The following is a 20,967-nucleotide window of genomic DNA, read 5'->3' as shown; positions in this document are numbered from 1 at the left end:
GTTGAATTAATTTACACTCCCACCAACAGTGCAAAAGCATTCCTATTACTCCACATCTTCTCCAGCATCTGTTGTTTCTTGGCTTTTTAATGATTGCTATTCTAATGGGTGTGAGATGGTATCTCACTGTGGATTTGATTTGCATTTCTCTAATGACCAGTGATAATGAGCTTTTATTCATATGTTTGTTGATTGCATAAATGTCTTCTTTTGAGAAGTGTCTGTTCATATCCTTTGTCCACTTTTTGATGGGGTTGTTTTTTTCTTGTAAATTTGTTTAAGTTCTTTGTAGATTCTGAATATTAGCCCTTTGTCAGATGGATAGATTGCAAAAATTTTCTCCCATTCTGTAGGTTGCCTGTTCACTCTGAAGATAGTTTCTTTTGCTGTGCAGAAACTCTTTAGTTTAATTAGATCCCATTTGTCAATTTTGGCTTTTGTTGCCATTGCTTTTGGTGTTTTAGTGATGAAGTCTTCGGCCATGCCTATGTCCTGAATGGTATTGCCTAGGTTTTATTCTAGGGTTTTATGGTTTTAGGACTTACATTTAAGTATTTAATGCATCTTGAGTTAATTTTTGTGTAAGGTATAAGGAAGGGGTCCAGTTCCTGTTTTCTGCATATGGCTAGCCAGTTTTCCCAACACGATTTATTAAATAGGGAATCCTTTCCCCATTGCTGGTTTTTGTCAGGTGTGTCAAAGATCAGATGGATGTAGATGTGTGGCGTTATCTCTGAGGCCTCTGTTCTGTTCCATTGGTCTTTATATCTGCTTTTGTACCAGTACCGTGCTGTTTTGGTTACTGTAGCCTTGTAGTATAGTTTGAAGTCAGGTAGCGTGATGCCTCCAGCTTTGTTCTTTTTGCTTAGGATTGTCTTGGCTATATAGACTGTTTTTTGGTTCCATATGAAATTTAAAGTAGTTTGCTTTTTCTAATATGTGAAGAAAGTAAATGGTAGCTTGATGGGGATAGCATTGAATCTATAAATTACTTAGGACAGTATGGCTATTTTCATGATATTGATTTTTCTTATCCATGAGCATGAACTGTTTTTCCATTTGTTTGTGTCCTCTCTTATTTCCTTGAGCAGTGGTTTGTAGATCTCCTTGAAGAGGTCCTTCACATCTCTTGTGAGTTGTATTCCTAGGTCTTTTATTCTCTTTGTAGCAACTGTGAATGGGAGTTCACTCATGATTTGGCTGTCTGTTTGTCTGTTATTGGTGTACAAGAATGCTTGTGGTTTTTTCACATTGATTTTGTATCCTGAGACTTTGCTGAAGTTGCTTTTCAGCTTAAGGAGATTTTGGACTGAGATGATGGTGTTTTCTAAATATACAATCATGTCATCTGCAAACAGAGAAAATTTGACTTCCTCTTTTCCTATTTGAATACCCTTTATTTCTTTCTCTTACCTGATTGCCCTTGCCTGAACTTCCAATACTATGTTGAATAGGAGTGGTGAGAGAGGGCATCCTTGTCTTGTGTCAGTTTTCAAAGGGAATGTGTCTAGCTTTTGCCCATTCAGTATGATATTGGCAGTGAGTTTGTCATAAATAGCTCTTATTATTTTGAGATGCATTCTATCAATACCAAGTTTATTGAGAGTTTTTAGCATAAAGCCATGCTGAATTTTATCAAAGGCCTCTTCTGCATGTATTGAGATAATCATGTGGTTTTTGTCATTGATTCTGTTTATGTGATGGATTAAGTTTATTGATTTGCATATGTTGAACCAGCCTTGCATCCCAGGGATGAAGCCAACTTAATGGTGGGGGATAAGCTTTTTGATGTGCTGCTGGATTCAGTTTGCCAGTATTTTATTGAGGATTTTTGCATCGATATTCATCAGGGATATTGGCCTGAATTTTTCTTTTTGTGCATGTGTCTCTGCCAGGTTTTGGTATCAGGATGATGCTGGCCTCATAAAATGAGTTAGGGAGGAGTCCCTCTTTTTCTATTGTTTGGAATAGTTTCAGAAGGAATAGTACCAGCTACTCTTTGTACTTCTGGTAGAATTCGGCTGTGAATTTCTTTGGTCCTGGGCTTTTTTTGGTTGGTATTCTATTGATTACTGCCTCAATTTCAGGACTTGTTATTGGTCTATTCAGGCGTTTGACTTCTTCCTGGTTTAGTCTTGGGAGGTTGTATGTGTCCAGGAATTTATCCATTTCTTCTAGATTTTCTAGTTTATTTGCTTAGAGGTTTTTATAGTATTCTCTGATGGTAGTTTGTATTTCTGTGGGATCAGTTGTGATATCCACTTTATCATTTTGTATTGTGTCTATTTGATTCTTCTCTCTTTTCTTCTTCATTAGTCTGGTTAACGGTCTGTCTATTTTGTTAATCTTTTTAAAAAACCAGCTCCTGGATTCAGTGATTTTTTGAAGTTTTTCCTGTCTCTATCTCCCTCTTTTCTGCTCTGATCTTAGTTATTTCTTGTCTTCTGTTAGCTTTTCAATTTGTTTGCTCTAGCTTCTCTAGTTCTTTTAATTGCAATGTTTGGTTGTCAACTTTAGATCTTTCCCACTTTCTCCTGTCGGCATTTAGTGCTATAAATTTCCCTCTAAACACTGCTTTAGCTGTGTCCCAGAAATTTTGGTATGTTGTGTCTTTATTCTCATTGGTTTCAAATAACTTATTTATTTCTGCCTTGATTTTGTTATTTACCCAGTAGTCCTTCAGGAGCTGGTTGATCAGTTTCCATGTAGTTGTATGGTTTTGAGTGAGTTTCTTAATCCTGAGTTCTAATTTGATTGCACTGTGGTCTGAGAGACTGTTATAATTTCCGTTCTTTTGCATTTGCTGAGGAGTGTTTTGCTTCCAATTATGCGGTCAATTTTAGAATAAGTGTGATGTGGTGCTGAGAAGAATATATATTCTGTTGATTTGGGGTTCAGAGTTCTGTAGATGTCTATTAGGTCTGCTTGTTGCAGAGCTGAGTTCAGCTCCTGGATATCCTTTTTAACTTTCTGTCTCATTGATCTGTGTAATATTGACAGTGGGGTGTTAAAGTCTCCCACTATTATTGTGTGGGAGTCTAAATCTCTTCGTAGGTCTCTAATAACTTGCTTTATGAATCTGGGTGCTCCTGTATTTGGTGCATATGTATTTAGGATTGTTAGCTCTTCTTGTTGCATTGATTCCTTTACCATTATGTAATGCCCATCTTTGGCTCTTTCGATCTTTGTTGGTTTAAAGTCTGCTTTATCAGAGACTAGCATTGCAACCCCTGATTTTTTTTATTTTTTTATTTTTTTTTTTGCTTTCCATTTGCTTGGTCAATATTCCTCTATCCCTTTACTTTGAGTCAATGTGTGTTTTTGCACGTGACATGGGACTCCTGAATACAGCACACCAATGGGTTTTGACTCTATCTAATTTGCCAGTCTATGTCTTTTAACTGGGGCATTTAACCCATTTACATTTAAGGTTAATATTGCTATGTGTGAATTTGATCCTGTCATTATGATGCTAGCTGGTTATTTTGCCTGTTAGTTGATGCAGTTGCTTCATAGTGTTGACGGTCTTTACAATCTGTTATGTTTTTGCAGTGGCTGGTACCGATTGTTTCTTTCCATATTTAGTGCCTCCTTCAGGAGCTCTTGTAAGGCAAGCTTGGTGGTGACAAAATCTCTCAGCATTTGCTTGTCTGTAAAATATTTTATTTATACTTCACTTATGAAGCTTAGTTTTGCTTGATATGAAATTCTGGCTTGAAAATTATTTTCTTTAAGAATGTGGAATATTGGCCCCCACTCTCTTCTGGCTTGTAAAGTTTCTGCAGAGAGATCCACTGTTAATCTGATGGGCTTCCCTTTATGGGAAACCCAACATTTCTCTCTGGCTGCCCTTAACATTTTTTCCTTCATTTCAACCTTGTTGAATCTGATGATTATGTGTTTTTGGGTTGCTTTTCTTGAGGAGTACCTTTGTGGTGTTCTCTGTATTTCCTGAATTTGAATGTTGGCCTGTCTTGCTAGGTTGGGGAAGTTCTCCTGGATAATATCCTGAAGAGTGTTCTCCAACTTCTTTCCATTCTCCCTGTCACTTTCAAGTACACCAATCAAATGTGGGTTTGGTCTTTTCATTCAGTCTCATATTTCTTGGAGGCTTTCTTCATTCCTTTTCATTCTTTTTTTTCTCTAATCTTGTCTTCATGCTTTATTTCCTTAAGTTGATCTTCAATCTCTGATATCCTTTCTTCCACTAGATTGATTCAGCTATTGATACTTGTGTATGCTTCACGAAGTTCTCATGCTGGGTTTTTCAGCTCCATCAGGTCATTTATGTTCTTTCCTAAACTGGTTATTCTAGTTAGCAATTTCTCCATACTTTTTTCAAGGTTCTTAGCTTCCTTGCATTGGGTTAGAACATGCTCCCTTAGCTTGGAGGAGTTTGTTATTACCCACCTTCTGAAGCCACTTCTGTCAATTCATCAAACTCATTCTTCATCAAGTTTTGTTCCCTTGCTGGCAAGGAGTTGTGATCCTTTGGAGGAGAAGAGATGTTCTGGTTTTTGGAATTTCCAGCCTTTTTGTGCTGGTTTTTCCTCATCTTTCTGGATTTATGTACCTTTCGTCTTTGATGTTGGTGACGTTTGTGTGGGGTTTCTGTGTGGATGTCCTCTTTGTTGATGTTAATACTATTCCTTTCTGTTTGTTAGTTTTCCTTTTAACAGTCAGGTCCCTCCGCTGCAGGTCTGCTGGAGTTTGCTTGAGGTCCACTCCAGACCCTGTTTGCCTGGGTATCACCAGTGGAGGCTGTAGAACAGCTAAGATTACTGCTATTCCTTCCTCTGGAAGCCTCATCCCAGAGGGGAACCCACCATATGCCAGCTGGAGCTCTCCTGTATGAGGTGTCTGTTGACCTTTGCTGGGAGGTGTCTCCCAGTCAGGAGGCACGGGGGTCAGGAACCCACTTGAAGAGGCAGTCTGTCTCTTAGCAGAGCTCGAACACTGTGCTGGGATATCCGCTGCTCGCTCCATAGCTGGCAGACACGAATGTTTAAGTCTGCTGAAGCTGTGTCCACATCCACCCCTTCCCCAGGTGCTCTGTCCCAGGGAGATGGGAGTTTGATCTATAAGCCCCTGACTGGGGCTGCTGTTTTTCTTTCTGAGATGCCCTGCCCAGAGAGGAAGAATCTAGAGAGGCAGTCTGGCTACAGTGGGTTTGAGGAGCTGTGCTGGAACTTCCCTGGGGCTTTGTTTACACTGTGAGGGGAAAACCGGCTACTCAAGCCTCTGTAATGGCGGATGCCCCTCCCCTGACAAAGCTGGAGTATCCCAGGTCGACTTAAGGCTGCTGTGCTAGGAGCAAGAATTTCAAACCAGTGGATCTTAGCTTGCTGGGCTCCATGGGGCTGAGATCCACTCAGCTAGACCACTTGCCTCCCTGGCTTAAGCCCCCTTTCCAGGGGATGATGGTTCTGTCTCACTGGCATTCCAGACGCCACTGGGGTATGAAAAAAAAAACTCCCGCAGCTTGGTAGGTGACTGCCCAAAGGCTGTCCAATTTTTTTCTTGAAACCCAGGGCCTCAATGGCGTAAGCACGCGATGGAATCTCCTGGTCTGCGGGTTGCAAAGACCATGGGGAAAGCGTTGTATCTGGGCCAGAATGCACTGTTCTTCATGGCACAGCCCCTCACGGCTTCCCTTGGCTAGGGGAGGGAGTTCCCTGACCCCTTGTGCTTCCCAGGTGAGGCAACGCAGCACCCTGCTTCGGCTTGCCCTCCATGGGCTACACCCAATGTCTAACCAGTCCCAATGAGATGAGCTGGGTACCTCAGTTGGAAATGCAGAAATCACGCACCTTCTGCATTGATCTCACTGGAAGCTGCAGACCAGAGCTGTTTCTATTCAGCCATCTTGCCTGCAACTCAAAAGTTATCAATATTATCTCATTCAATGACAAAGGAGGTTACCAAACAATATATGTGCAATGATCATTCACATATGCTCATATAAATATAATCACACATATACACACACTTATACATATTAACATGCATAAGAAATCATATACAACCAGAGGTTGCTTCTGAATAGGCAGATTGATGGTTATTCTGTATTTTCTTTATTCTGCTTTATGTTTTATGATTTGGAAAAATACACATGTATTACTTTTCCAGTGTAAAAAGACAGTTTTAATATTTTAAATACTAAAAGAATAGAACAGTTAGTTAAATATGTAGCTAAAAATAAATAGAATCCTCCAATTTTGAAAAAAAAATTTTAAATAAAAGCAGTTGGTAAGAAATCTTCATTCTCTCAATCCTTTCTACCTTTGGAAGAAAGTATTTAAGTGTATTATAAAAGGTCATAGAAAAATTTTATTTAACTATAATGAATACAATTTTAATAATATCAAATAGAATGCTGTCTTTAGACATGTCAATGTATCACTTACATGAAAAATAAACTATTTTTGTAAATGGCATCAAACATAAATAAAATGGTCAATTTCTAGGTGACTGCATTGGTAAACCTTTTTTAATTTTTCCCATTGCAGAGATGAGGAAAAATAAAATTTTTGGTTGACATAGAACTTGTACGATTATCATGATCATATAAATCATATCAAAAGAGGAATATGCTATCGATATTTTTAAATAGAAAAATTGATATGAAAATTTATTTATAATCAAATGGTTGCAAAAAAACAGAAAAATTTCTGTGAATATTTTTCTGTTATTGACACTTGTAATAACTGTAAAAAGAAACGAATTATTACATCAATAAGGTGCTGATAAAATACATCACATTTTAATGATTCATTGTCGGACTGAATTCATTCAGACACAATAAACATTTTATATAATAAGACCTTGAAAGCACAATTTGGAATTCTTTGGTAGAATATAGAGTATATTAGAGACTCTACAGTCATGAGCTAAGCCAGAAACTAAAATATAAACAACTAAGTTTACTGCAGCAGCCTCTCTAGTACTGGCCCTCTGTAGAACTCTATACCACACACCTTTCTACAGACAGTAGTTAGCCTGAGTCTGTAAAGGTATTGACTCCTTGGCAAGTCAGTTGTGGCCAGATGCTGCTGTGACTCCATTACTGTCCATTTAATAGAAGTTTTGAGAATACATTTTATGAGTACAGAATATGGACAGGTTTTGTGAGAAACAAAGGTGGAAGAAAGGAAAAATGATTAGTTAAGTAATAATTGTCTTCCCTAATAAAGGATTAGTTTATACTCGAGGCCCATTACCCATTATATTCACTTTTATTCATACCATTTAAAATAATTTTAGCTTATATATTTGTTTTAAATTTCTCCAGTGACCTTTTACTTTCTGTAAAAAAAATACAAAATAAAACAATTTTTACCGAATTTTTAATTCATAAAAGATTTATTTCACAAATATCCATTGAGTTCCAGAGGGTACCAGAAAGAACAAACATGATTCCCATATTTAAAGAGCTTACATTTGAGAGAAAAGACAGAGTAAGCAAATAAATATATAATGTGTAACACAGGAAGAGGTACAGTGATTTAAAAAGCATAGGAAGGAAGAGAACGTAACCATCAAGTTATTTTACGCTCTGAAAGACACCACTTGAGTAGAGATTTTATATAGAAGCAATATTTCCATTCCATTCATGTGATTAAGTCAGGGGACGATGCCAAAAGTGAAGAGATAATGTTGACAATATGGGTAGGATTTACCAGGTTTTCTCTCTGCTGCCATTGGGAATGTCTTTCCAACTTTTTTCATATTCATGATAATAACTGATCATTTTCCTAAAATCTTGTGGTAAATATTACATATTTAGATTAGGGCCCTTAGAATGTTTAGTATGCGAATTTTATTGTGCGCAATTTTGAAAAAGATCTCCAATTTCAAAACAAGCCTTCTGGGTACTTTCATAGTTAGTCTGCACAACTAACTGAATCAGAAAACAAATATATTACTCAATTTCAGGTTACAAGAATTGACCTCCAGGGCAGTGCCTTCTGCTCTCTTACATGTGATTTGCAATTACAGTTGAGAAATAAGGGTAGAGAAGGAATTCGAAGGTGAGGATCTGTTTTCCCTGCCAAGTCTTTCCTTCTTATTGTGAGCAAAAAATACACTTTCTCATTGGAGAACACTTACAGAAAACAGTCACTTTCCCAGACCAGTACTTCACTCTTAAGGAACAACCAAAAACAAACGAATAAACAAACACCATAGTTTGGGCAAATTATCATAAAATGTACAACATAAGAAGTTGGCGATTGCTGTATTTTCAATAGAAATGTGATTGATATGACCAGTCCTGCCTAAAGGTTAGTAATGCCGCAAGAAACAGAGAATCAAAGTCTATAGCTATGTGGAAAGGAAAGAATTGAATTGCACATTAGAAAGTGCACTCTAGGGCTGATGTATCTTCAGCTCCAGCCTACTGATAGAAAGGCAGTGACCCCCACTTCCAAGACAAACTTGCAACCAAGTTAGAGACACTTTCTTGAAACACTAGGAATGTTCCTGCTCTGAGTTGTGTTTCCCCAAAATGTTGGATACCTAACCCCCAATGTGACTGCATTTGAAGGTAAGGTTTTAGGGGGTAATTAACATAAATGAGATAATAAATGTTCAATCCTAATTCAGTAGGATTGATGGCCTTAAAGAAGGCCTTAGAGAAAAGATATCTTTCTTTCTCTCCATGTGCACACAGGACAGGAAAGGCCATGTGAGGACATAGGGAGAAAGCAGCCACCATTGGCAAGCCAAGAGAGAGCCCTCACCAGGAACGATTGGACCAGCACCTTGATCTTGGATTTTCTAGCCTCCAGAACTGTGAGATACAAATTTCTGTTGTTTAAGCCACACAGTCTGTGATATTTTGTTACAGCAACCCTAATAGACTGAGAGAGCTCCTGAGAGCTTCACTCACAGAATCAATTGTATTCTTACCTGGTGAAGATCCATTCTAAGACTTATTGGCTGTTTGGAAGTGATAGCAAATAAAAGCCACCTTGAACTGGGTCTGATGCAGCATTCTTACCAAACTTCAAACCTGGACTAGTTCATCCTTATGCATTGAGGCTTTTTTATTCGTGTTCGTTTGTTTTTACCAGTTAACTATCAACATAAATTTCATTTATAATATTGTATGTTCAGTGTTCCAAAAAACTGGTCCTACCAACATAGTTTGGAATGACTCCATTATAAGATGGTGACTGCCTGTATCAAATCTTTACTGCCTTTTTCAAATTCTTACCATTTTTATAAAAAGGAGTCACACTACTCAATCTATACATCAGTGTTAAATATGATTTTTACTAATTTTTTTTTTTTTTTACCAACACTATCTTAAAAAATCTGACAGCATAGAGCAGTGATTAAAGGCATTTGCTTCAGGGTCAAATATAGTTACACTGCTGTTTTTTGGACAATTTGTTATTTTGAACCATTGTTTCTTACCTTTATAAAATGAGCATAAGATAATGTTCTTTTAAGGTGAGTATGAGATACAAATGAGAAAAGCAATAATAATAAAGATTCAACAATGGAAACTGCTATTTACATTATGATTGTTATAATTAGAAGGACAAACTGTAATTTAACGTTCCTATAGTAATAAAATGGCATCTACAGAGCAAATCTAAACAGACTTAATCTTCATATAACAATTCATCCCAGATAATTTGAATTGACCATAATAACATGTTTGAAAGGAGGCTGAAATAAAACAGGGTTTGCTCTTTTCAACTCTTTAGCCAAGACTTTTTTTAAAAAAAACTGGTATATAAATGCTTTGTATTTCCTTTCAAGTTTGAAGGGAAAATAAATATAATACTTAATAGATTTTCAAGTATCTCTTTAGACATTCTCTTGTTTAGGCTTGTACTAATCCATTCATTCAGGGTTTGACTGTTGGGTGAACTTCTTTGCCCTATTCCCAGCTGTGAGAGGCAATTCTCCAGGTTTCTAAGCTTTAGACCTACGCCCTTCTCTGATGAGGTTAATTAGGGTTTGGGCTGAAACCCAGATTCCTATATATGTGGATAGAGTGATGTAGAAGTACTTTATGATAATAAATATAAATGAAATTTAGATTTTAATTTAGAAATAGAAAACATTTAGGCAACTCACTGAATCAAAAATAAATATAGACAAATTTAATTAATATATTTATTTATTATATTTTCCTGGGTTGGGCTTTGGCCTCTATTTCATATATTTTGTTTATTTTTCAGGATGTTCTGGGATAATGTAGTCCAGGTTCTAGTTCTGCCTTTGTCACTTACTAGCCATCTAGTCATATAATGCTGAAAAATATATTATGTAGCTCTAAGATAAATTCAACGTACCTGCATAGCACTATTCAACATACTTGCACAGTATTATTGTCAATATGTAGTCTAACAGATAAGAAACCACTGTGAAAATAGTAAACCATTATAAAAAATGATGTTTTATAATGATACATCTTTGCACTTCTAATATTATTGCTTTAAATAAATGTGGTATATATTCAGCATACAGCCAAATTTACAAAATTTTATCTTTTTAATTTTATGTCATATATAAAGAACCTTAATGCCAAAATAATCTTTATAGTGATGACTCGACATCCCAAAAATGTGGGACCCAACAGGGACATTAATAAAGAGATAAAGCAGGCTCTGTGCCGACTTGTTAGAATTTGGTACGTGGCAAATGTGCAGTCACACGGCCTTAAACCTCCCCTGGGAAACTGCTCAAACATTTGCATTCCCACAATGTATTTATTCAGGAAATACTCTTTTCCTGAGAAAAATCTGGCTCTCAAACCTCTCCCTGAGATTATGCAAGTTCTCCATTGGGGAAATACAGTTGGAAATCTAGTAAAGAATGTTTATTAACAAAAATCCATTTGCAGATCCTAGTTATTCTCAATATTTTGTGGATTTACAATTGAGAATACTACTTGCAAAAAGTAAACTTCAAAAAAAGGAAATAGAAAGCTATCAGAATTCCTGTAGAGTTTGTTGTTCCCCTTCTCCTCCAACATAGTTTTATTCTAATGTTTTCTTTATTCATTTTCTTTGGTATTAGTGTGCTGTAAACTCACCCAAAATGAAAAACAATCAAAATAGAATAAAACAAAATGAAAGCACATCAGTTAAAGATAAAACAAAACAAAAAACAGGCTGCCAGGTTTTAGTGGACAGAAGGGTAGGCCCCCTGGAGATCAGCCAAATTGAGTGGATGGAAGTAATCAACAACAAGAGGACAACAACATTAGCCACTGCTGAGCAGAAAATTAGAAAGATTCTTCAATTTATTTTTTTTTCTTTTCTGGTTGTCAGGTTTTGTCTCTCCTGTCTTCCACTGGTACACCATAAATCAGCAGCTAAAATGAAATTTCCTTCTTTTAGACATGGCAAAGTACTCATTGAGCTTAGAGATTAATAGTAAAACTTTAAAAAAGAAAAAAATTCAACAATATGTAATAAAGAGAAAAATCTGAACTAGAAACTTTAGATAAGTACCATGCTTTTAGTATACATGTTAGCACCATAAATTTTTTTCTAGATTCACTTAAAGATGATAAAATAATGTGTATACCCCAAAACTAATGATAAAACAGATCAATAACTGCCTGCTAGTTGTATCATGCTTTTCCCAAAATAATGAACTGGAAATTTAATGTTATGATTTAATCCTATTACTCTCTTTAATTCTATGTGAGCTTCTTGCTCTTTTTTTTCATCCCATAAATTTCATTTTTGTCAATATCTGTTGCTATTCCTTTCGAGGTTTTTTCTTCTGGCCACCAAAGCCAAATTGCCAAAATATTTTAGCTCCAATGGATCTGAATCTTTAGAACATGTCTTTTACATTGAGACCTGTACTGCTTCACCTTACCACTTGTAGTCTTTCAAATCTAAGCTCCCATGCTTAACCAAATTCAAACAAAAATGTCTCTCGGTTTGATCCTAAACTCTTTCCAAATCAGTGCTATTTTTCAGTTATATTTTTAGACCTTCAAAAAGTCTGAGATGACATTCTCAATGCAGAATAAGATCTATAAATACTGAGCTTCTGTTTCTACAGTGTACCCAAGAGGTTTTCAAGGATTGCTTATAAAAATTATAATAGCTAACATTATCAAGCTAGTCACTATTCTAATTCTTTTATATTTAATCCTCATAATACTATGTAGTAGGTTCTAGTAAAATACTCATTTTATAGATAAGTAAATAGAGACAAATAGGAAGTAAATATAGTATCAAATTCATATAATTAGTAAGTTACGGAACTGATATTTGAAGCTTTATAGTCTGTTTTAGTTGGCTAGGGCTGCCATAACAAAGTGCTAAAAATGAATAGTTTGTTATTTCCTCATGGTCCTGGAGGCTATAAGTTTGAGATCAAGGTGATCAGTAAGATTGGTTTCTTCTGAGCCTTCTGTCCTTGATTTATAGATGTTCAGTCTTTCCTCTATGTGTCCTAATCTCCTGTTTTTATAAGGATACCAGTCATATTGGATTAGGACTCAACAACAATGACATCATTTATTCTTAGTAACCTCTTTAGAGGCCTTGTTTTCAAATACAGTTGAATTCTGAAGTACTGGGAGTTAAAACTTTAACATATAAATTTGAAAGGGGACACAATTCAGCCCCTAAAACAGTCTTACTACAAACCCCCTCTTCTTAACCACTAAACGAACTTAAAAAAGAAAGGAAGAGCTGAGAAAGAGAGAGGGAAAGAGGGAGGAAGGAGAAAAAAAGGAAGGGAGGAAGGGAGAAAGAAAGGAGCTACTTGCCAAGCAAACCAGAATAATTATGAAGACAACTGGAGGCAGAATGCTTTCCAGATGATGCTGGAGACAAAGTAATTATTGGGAAGTCAGCTTTGTATGGTGAAGTGTCCATGAATTCTGGACTCACAGAGTTATGAGTGCAAATATTACTCTGTTTTATGCTACTTGGAAGGTTATATTCCCTTTATGAACCTCAGTTTTCTTAAGATGCACATCATACTTCTTATAGGTTAGGGCTATTAGGGGGATTATAGTTCATATGAAGTTCATAGAAGAGTTCATAAAAAGTGAAAGTCTCAAAGGTCTTCCTTTTTTCTTTCCTTTCCTTTCTTGTGTCCTCTCTTAGTAGATTCAATACAGAACATTGACCTCTCTTTCACATATTCTCTCATAAATATTAATATTATAAAGAAAGAGTAAAATAGCAAATTATGCATTTCTTCTACCTAATTATCTCTTTTCTAAGCCCACCTTTCTTTAGTCATCTTTCCCACAGACTCACATTTCTCTTTTGCTGGAATTTCAGCAATCATTCTTATCTGTTTTCTTTGACTTGAAAAATACCTATCATTTCAGCAAAATTTAAAAAATGTTAAATCTATGTCATTTGTTTCATTTTCATTACAGATTCTTTAAAACAATTTTAATTGAAGTATTTCATACCTTTAAAAAATGAAAAGCAATACAAGACACAATTTTAAAAATATTTATGGCACCATTTCACAATACTTGTTTCTGATCTCTTTATTTTTTGGTGGAATTGGTAGTAATAAAACACCATGCATATATCCAAAGATCTGTACTGCCGCCTAATTTTAACTCACAAAGTTTATTCTAATTTATTAATTATTCATCAAGTATTACTTGTATCAGTCATTGTTTGGGGTATTGAACACAGAGTTGTGAATCCTATGTAAAGTGCCTGTGCTAAGAATAGAAAACATTTTAGTGGTGGAGACAGCACACATAAATATATAAATGCACATAAATATATAAATGGTGATGAGTGTCATTCAAAAAAGAAAGGAAGACATTACTGGTATGAAAGGAAAATGGTGCAGCTACTTTGGAAAGCAGTCTGGAAATTCCTCAAATGGTTAAACATAGAATTGCCATGTGATTCAAGAATTTTACCCCGAGTTATATACCCAAGAGAAATGCAAACCTATGTTCACACCAAAACTTGTATACAAATGTTCATAGCAGCATTATTCATAATAAGCAAAAAGTAGAAACAGCAAAAATTTTCATTAACTGATGAATGAATAAATAAATTTTGGTATATTTATACTATAAAATATTTTCAGCAATAAAAAGAAAGCAATCATATATGCTACAGCATGAATGGAGCCTGAAAACAGTATGCTAAGTGAAAGAAGCCAGACATAGTAGGCCAGATATTATATTATTCCATTTAACTAAAGCTTTCAGTATTGGCAATACATAGAGACAGAAGCCAAATAATTGTTTCCTACTAATGTAGAGATGGAGAACTTTAAGGGAAGAGGGTGAAGCCTAAAGGGTGGAGAATTTCCTTATGGGGGAATGAAAATATTCTAAAATTGACTGTAATAATATTTGTACAAAATTGTGAATGATTGAATTACTTAAAAACTATAGATACAGTAAAAAGATCAGTAACTTCAAAGGGAATAGAGGAGGGAAGGAGGAGGATGAATGGATGAAGCACAGAGAATTTTTAGAGGAAAATATTCTGTATGATACTACAACTATTCTGTGGATATGTGTCACTATGCAATTGTTGAAACCCATAGACAGCTACAGCACAAAGAGTGAACCTTAATTTATACAATTTAAAAAAAATAAATTAAAAGGTCAGGAATTTGGAAGGAATGCAGACTGTGACAAGAAAATCTCACTCTGCTATGAATGTTTAAGGCAACCTCACTGAAGGAGTTTGGGGGTGGAGGAGGGCTGAACTAAATAACATTGAAAATAAGTGGAGCCTATAAGTCTAAAGGTAAAAGGAACTGCACACAGACACTGCCCTCTAGTTAATAAAGCTGTATTCCATGGACATATGGGTTAACAATATTCCTATTGCTATACATGTATATTTTAATTGAACAATTAATTAAAGAGTTGGTGGATAGTGATAGTTGAGTTTCAAGGGCTAAAATAATTCATGTGTTGAACACATGCATAAGAACTCATGTTTCACTTAAACAAAGTTGGTTCCTTATTTATTTATGTATTTATTTATTTCACTGAAGTTTTTAAACAACTTCATTGAGATATAATCACTATTTAAAAACTGCACAAACTCATCAAATTTTAGACAGTAATATGTGCAGTTCCTTGTATAGTGATTGTATCTCAGTGAAACATGCACATTTTTTGTTATGTAAAATTTGATGAGTTTGTACATATGCAAATAAATACCCATCAACACAATCAAAATAATAGACATATTCAACACCTTCCAAAGTTTTGTTGTGTCTCTGTTTTTTATTATTTATTTATTTATTTATTTATTTATTTATTTATTTATTTTGAGACACAGTCTCGCTCTGTCACCCAGGCTGGAGTGCAGCGGCACGATCTCGGCTCACTGCAATCTCTACCTCCCGGGTTCACGCCATTCTCCTGCCTCAGCCTCCCGAGTAGTTGGGACTACAGGCGCCCACCACCGTGCCTGGGTTTTTTTTTTTTTTTTTGTATTTTTAGTAGAGACGGGGTTTCACCATGTTAGCCAGGATGGTCTTGATCTCCTGACCTCGTGATCCACCCACCTCCGCCTCCCAAAGTGCTGGGATTACAGGTATGAGCCACCACACCCCGCCTTTTTATTTTGTTTTCGTTTTCTGTTTGTTTTGTGATAGGAAGACAAAATAGATCTGCCCTCTTAAGAAATTTTGAAACACAAAATACCATGTTGTTAACAATAAACAATATGTTGTACAGCAGATCTCTAGAATTTACTATTCTAGCATAACTAAAACTTTGTACCCATTGAACAACAAGCACTCTATTTTCCCCACTCTCCAGGCCCTAGCAACCACTATTGTATTCTCTTCTTCTATCAGTTTAACTATTATAGTTACTACCTGAAAATGTAAAACTTCTAGACAAAAGCATAGGGGAAAATCTTGACATTGGTCTTGGCAATGATTTTTTGAATATGAGACCAAAAGTACAAGCAACAAAAGCAAAAATAGACAAGATTACATCAAATTAAAAAGCTCTGCGTGGCAAAAGAAACAATCAACAGAATAAAAAGACAAACTGAAATGAGAGAACATATTTTCAAGTCATATATCTGATAATTTCCAAGATACATAAGGAACTCCTTCAACTCAATAGCAGAAATTTTTAAAAAATGGGCAAAGGAGTTAAACACATTTTTCTCCGAAGAAGACGTACAAATAAGATATATAAAGATGCTCAGCAGCATTATTTACCAAGGAAATGAAAATCAAATAATAATGAGATATCAGTTTATGCCTGTTAAAATGGCTATTTTTCTAAAAACTCGAAATGTAACATGTTGGCAAGGATGTGTGGAAATTGGAATGCTGGGCCTGGTGCAGTGGCTCACGCTTGTAATCCCAGCACTCTGGAAGGCAGAGGCAGGTGGATCATGAGGTCCGCAGTTGGAGACCAGCCTGGCCAACATGGTGAAACCCTGTCTCTACTAAAAATACAAAAATTAGCCAGGCATGGTGGCAGGCGCCTGTAATCCCAGCTACTCGGGATGCTGAGGCAGGAGAATCACTTGAACCCGGGAGGTGGAGGTTGCAGTGAGCCGAGACTGCACCTTTGCCCTCTACCATGGGTGACAGAGTGAGACTCTGTCTCAAAAAAAAGAAATTGAAATGCTGGCAAATTGTTGGCGGGGATGTAAAATGGTAGAGTAGCTATGGGTATTAATATGAAGGTTTCTCAAAAATTAAAAATAAAACTGCCATACAACCCAGCAGTTCTACCTCTGGGTACATATAAAAAAAGAATTAAAATCAGAGTCTTGAAAAGATATCTGTATTCCCATGTTCACTGAGGTATTACTCACAATAACCAAGATATGGAAACAATTCAAGTATCTTTTTAAAAATGAATGAAGAAATGTGGTATATACATATATACAGTGAAATATTATTCTGCCTTAAAATAGGAGATTCTGCTATTTGTGACAACATGGATGGTATACTAAGTAAAATAAGCCAGTCACAGAACATATTGATGTATTTAAAGATAGTATACCTTTACAGATAGGATAGAATATACACATATATTCCTTTAATCTGCCAAAAAGAAGGCCTAAAAGAAATGACATCCCAATAACAATGAGCATGCCTAGTGCCCAGATCTGGGTTTCTAATACCAATCTCTAGTAGAAGGAATCAGGGCTTCTTGGAGAAATGTCTGTGATTATAAGAGTGGGGCATAAAATATACAATATGAGACTGGGGCATCTAGTAGTGACAAAAAGTAAGGCACTCAGAAAAAATTAAAAACTCATATTGATGGAGCTATCTCAAAGAAGTACAGGAGCCAACTGAATGCTCTCTCAAATTTGCCAAAGCCAGGAGACCATTTGAGCAACAATGTAAGTAAAGTCATAGTGAATTATAACATAAAGTATAGAATATATATCCATGAGTCCATACTTATATAAATAAAGGATTAAATAATTTAATACAGAGAGACAAATATCTGGTGCAAAAGTATTCCGAACAATTTATATAGATACTCTCACCTTAAGGATAGGGACCATAATTCTCCATTCTTTTAAAGTGCTGGCTATATGTAGTGACTTTCTTCCAAAGTACAGTACGGGTGGCTGGCAAGATGGCCGAATAGGAAGAGCTCCAGTCTACAGCTCCCGCAGAGATCAACGCAGAAGGTGGGTGATTTCTGCATTTCCAGCTGAGGTATCTGGCTCATCTCATCGGGACTGGTTAGACAGGGGGTGCAGCCCATAGAGGGCAAGCCAAGGCAGGGTGGGGCATTGTTTCACCAGGGAAGTGCCAGGGATTGGGGAACTCCCTCCCCTAGCCAGGGGAAGCCAAGAGGAACTGTGCCCTGAGGAATGGTGCACTCTAGCCTAGATACGATGCTTTTCCCATGGTCTTCACAACCCACAGACCCGGAGATTTCCTCAGGTGCCTACCCCACCAGGGCCCTGGGTTTCAAGCACAAAACAGGAAGCCATTTGTGCAGACACCAAGTTAGCTGCAGGAGTTTTTTTCATACCCCAGTGGTGCCTGGAATGCCAGTGGACAGATCTGTTCACTCCCCTGGAAAGGGGGCTGAAGCCAGGGAGCCAAGTGGTCTAGCTCAACGGATCCCACCACCTACAGAGCCCAGTAAGCTAACATTCATTGGCTTGAAATTCTTGCTGCTAGCATAGCAGTCTGAAGTCGCCCTGGGACGCACTAGCTTGGTAGGGGGAGGGGCGTCCACCATTACTGAGGCTTGAGTAGCTGGTTTTCCCCTCACAGTGTAAACAAAGCCCCAGGGAAGTTCCAACTGGGCGAAGCCCACAACAGCTCAGCAAAGCCTCTGTAAACAGACTGCCTCCCTAGATTCCTCCTCTCTAGGCAGGGCATCTCTGGAAAAAAAGGCAGCAGCCCCAGTCAGGGGCTTATAGATCAAACTCCCATCTCCCTGGGACAGAACACCTGGGGAAAGGGGAGGCTGTGGGCTCAGCTTCAGCAGACTTAAATGTACCTGCCTGCCAGCTCTGAAGAGAGCAGAGGATCTCTCAGCACACCACTCGAGCTCTGGTAAGAGACAGACTGCCTCCTCAAGTGGATCCCTGACACCTGTGTCTCCTGACTGGGAGACAACTCCCAGCAGGGGCGGATGGACACCTCATACAGGACAATTCCAGCTGGCATCTGCCAGGTGCCCTCTGGGACAAAGCTTCCAGAGGAAGTAACAGGCAGCAAACTTTGCTGTTCTGCAGCCTCTGCTGGTGATACCCAGGCAAACAGGGTCTGGAGTGGACCTCAGGCAAACTCCAGCAGACCTGCACTGCAGCAGAGGAGCCTGACTTTCAGAAGGAAAACTAACGAACAGAAAGGAATAGCATCAACATCAACGAAAAGGACATCCAGACAGAAACCCCATCTGAAGGTCACCAACATCAAAGACCAAAGGTAGGTAAATCCATGCAGATGAGGAAAAACCAGCGCAAAAAGGCTGAAAATTCCCAAAACCAGAACACTTCTCCTCCAACAGATCACACTCCTTGCCAGCAAGGGAACAGAACTGGACGGAGAATGAGTTTGATGAATTGACAGAAGTAGGCTTCAGAAGGTGGATAATAAACTCCTCCAAGCTAAGGGAGCATGTTCTAACCCAATGCAAGGAAGCTAAAAATCTTAAAAAAAAGATTATAGAAATTGCTAACTAGAATAACCAGTTTAGAGAAGAACATAAATGACCTGATGGAGCTAAAAAACACAGCATGAGAACTTCGTGAAGCATACACAAGTATCAATAGCTGAATCAATCTAGCAGAAAAAAGGATATCAGAGGTAGAAGATTGACTTAATGAAATGAAGTGTCAAGACAAGATTAGAGAAAAAAGAATGAAAAAGGAGAATGAACAAAGCCTCTAAGAAACATGAGACTATATGAAAAGACCAAATCTACGTTTGATTGGTGTACCTGAAAGTGACTGGGAGAATGGAAAGGAGCTGGAAAACACTCTTCGGGATATTATCCAGGAGAACTTCCCCAACCTAGCAAGACAGGCCAACACTCAAATTCAGGAAATACAGAGAACACCACAGCGATGCTCCTCAAGAAGAGCAACCCAAAGACACATAATCGTCAGATTCACCAAAGTTGAAATAAAGGAAAAAATGTTAAGGGCAGCCAGAGGGAAAGGTTGGGTTACCCACAAAGCAAAGCCTATCAGACTAACAGCAGATCTCTCTGCAGAAACTCTACAAGCCAGAAGAGAGTGGGGCCAATATTCTACATTCTTAAAGAAAAGAATTTTCAACCTAGAATTTCGTATCCAGCCAAATTAAGCTTCATAAGGGAAAGAGAAATAAAATATTTTACAGACAAGCAAATGCTGAGAAATTTTGTCACCACCAGGCCTGCCTTAAAAGAGCTCCTCTAGGAGCACTAAACATGGAAAAGAACAATCTGTATCAGCCACTGCAAAAACATACCAAATTGTAAAAACCAACAACACTCTGAAGAAACTGCATCAACTAAAAGTCAAGATAACCAGCTAGCATTATAATGACAGGATCAAATTCACACATAGCAATATTAACCTTAAATGTAAATGGGCTAAATGCCCCAATTAAAAGACAGAGACTGGCAAATTGGATACAGAGTCAAGACCCATTGGTATGCTCTATTCAGGAGACCCATGTCAAGTGCAAAGACACACATAGGCTCAAAATAAAAGGATGGAGGAATATTGACCAAGCAAATGGAAACCAAAACAAAGCAGGGGTTGCATTCCCAGTCTCTGATAAAACAGGCTTTAAACCAACAAAGATCAAAAGAGCCAAAGAAAGGCGTTATATAATGGTAAAGGGATCAATGAAACAAGAATAGTTAACTGTCCTAATATATATGCACCCAATACAGGAGCACCCAGATTCATAAATCAAGTTCTTAGAGACCTACAAAGAGATTTAGACTCTGACACAATAATAGTAGGAGACTTAAACACCCCACTGTCAATATTAGACAGATCAATGAGACAGAAAATTAACAAGGATATTTAGCACTTGAACTCAGCTCTGGACCGAGTGGATCTAACAGGCATCTACAGAACTCTCAACCCCAAATCAACAGAATATACATTCTTCTCAGCACCACATCACACTTATTTTAAAATTAGCCACATAATTGGATGTAAAACACTCCTCAGCAAATGCAAAATAATGGAAATCATAACAAACAGTTTGTCTGACCACAGTGCAATCAAATTAGAACTCAGGATTAAGAAACTCAAAACTGCACAACTACATGGAAACTAAACAACCTTCTCCTAAATGACTACTGGGTAAATATAAAAATTAAGGCAGAAATAAATAAGTTATTTCAAACCAATGAGAGCAAAGACACAACATACAAGAATCTCTGGGACACAGCTAAAGCAGTGTTTAGAGGGAAATTTATAGCACTAAATGCCCACAAGAGAAAGCAGGAAAGATCTAAAATTGACACCCTAATACCACAATTTAAAGAACTAGAGAAGCAAGAGCAAACAAATTCAA

At 37.2% G+C, this 20,967-nt stretch overlaps 1 protein-coding gene and 1 long non-coding RNA gene across 16 annotated transcripts in view, besides 2 other annotated features; one reads left to right on the top strand and one right to left on the bottom strand.

Annotated features, from left to right (window-relative positions):
* Positions 1-20,967, bottom strand: part of CALCRL-AS1 (CALCRL and TFPI antisense RNA 1) — a 544,253-nt gene that overhangs the window by 9,369 nt on the left and 513,917 nt on the right. For 2 of the 3 annotated variants that reach the window (NR_187178.1, NR_187180.1), the window contains exon 4: positions 9,299-11,335. The exons of the other annotated variant lie outside the window; for it this stretch is intronic. This is a non-coding gene — a long non-coding RNA (CALCRL and TFPI antisense RNA 1). Of the gene's footprint in view, positions 1-9,298; positions 11,336-20,967 lie in introns of those variants that run through there. 3 annotated transcript variants of the gene reach the window in all.
* TFPI (tissue factor pathway inhibitor) overlaps positions 1-20,967 on the top strand; it is a 90,206-nt gene that overhangs the window by 16,279 nt on the left and 52,960 nt on the right. For 4 of the 13 annotated variants that reach the window (NM_001329241.2, NM_001329239.2, XM_047445621.1 and 1 more), the window contains one exon: positions 8,672-8,793. The exons of 5 other annotated variants lie outside the window; for them this stretch is intronic. The gene's annotated coding sequence lies outside the window, so the exon portion shown is untranslated. Of the gene's footprint in view, positions 1-8,671; positions 8,794-17,538; positions 17,616-20,967 lie in introns of those variants that run through there. 4 more of the 13 variants (XM_047445619.1, XM_047445617.1, XM_047445623.1 and 1 more) reach the window with 2 other exon arrangements.
* Positions 7,841-8,135: a silencer, noted in NCBI's record as "tiled region #10664; K562 Repressive non-DNase unmatched - State 15:Elon". NCBI's record gives its function as "represses a minimal TATA promoter and a strong SV40 promoter by Sharpr-MPRA in K562 cells {active_cell/tissue: K562}" and the evidence as "EXISTENCE:reporter gene assay evidence [ECO:0000049][PMID:27701403]".
* Positions 17,518-18,203: an enhancer, noted in NCBI's record as "NANOG-H3K27ac hESC enhancer chr2:188384681-188385366 (GRCh37/hg19 assembly coordinates)". NCBI's record gives its function as "activates a minimal SCP1, AML or CMV promoter by ChIP-STARR-seq in naive H9 embryonic stem cells {active_cell/tissue: H9 hESC(naive)}" and the evidence as "EXISTENCE:reporter gene assay evidence [ECO:0000049][PMID:30033119]".

Source organism: Homo sapiens, chromosome 2 (assembly GCF_000001405.40).
Source record: "Homo sapiens chromosome 2, GRCh38.p14 Primary Assembly".
Taxonomy (NCBI): Eukaryota; Metazoa; Chordata; class Mammalia; order Primates; family Hominidae; genus Homo; species Homo sapiens.
The sequence above is the reverse complement of the archived record's forward strand: the minus strand, read 5'-3'. Positions and strand labels throughout refer to the sequence as shown.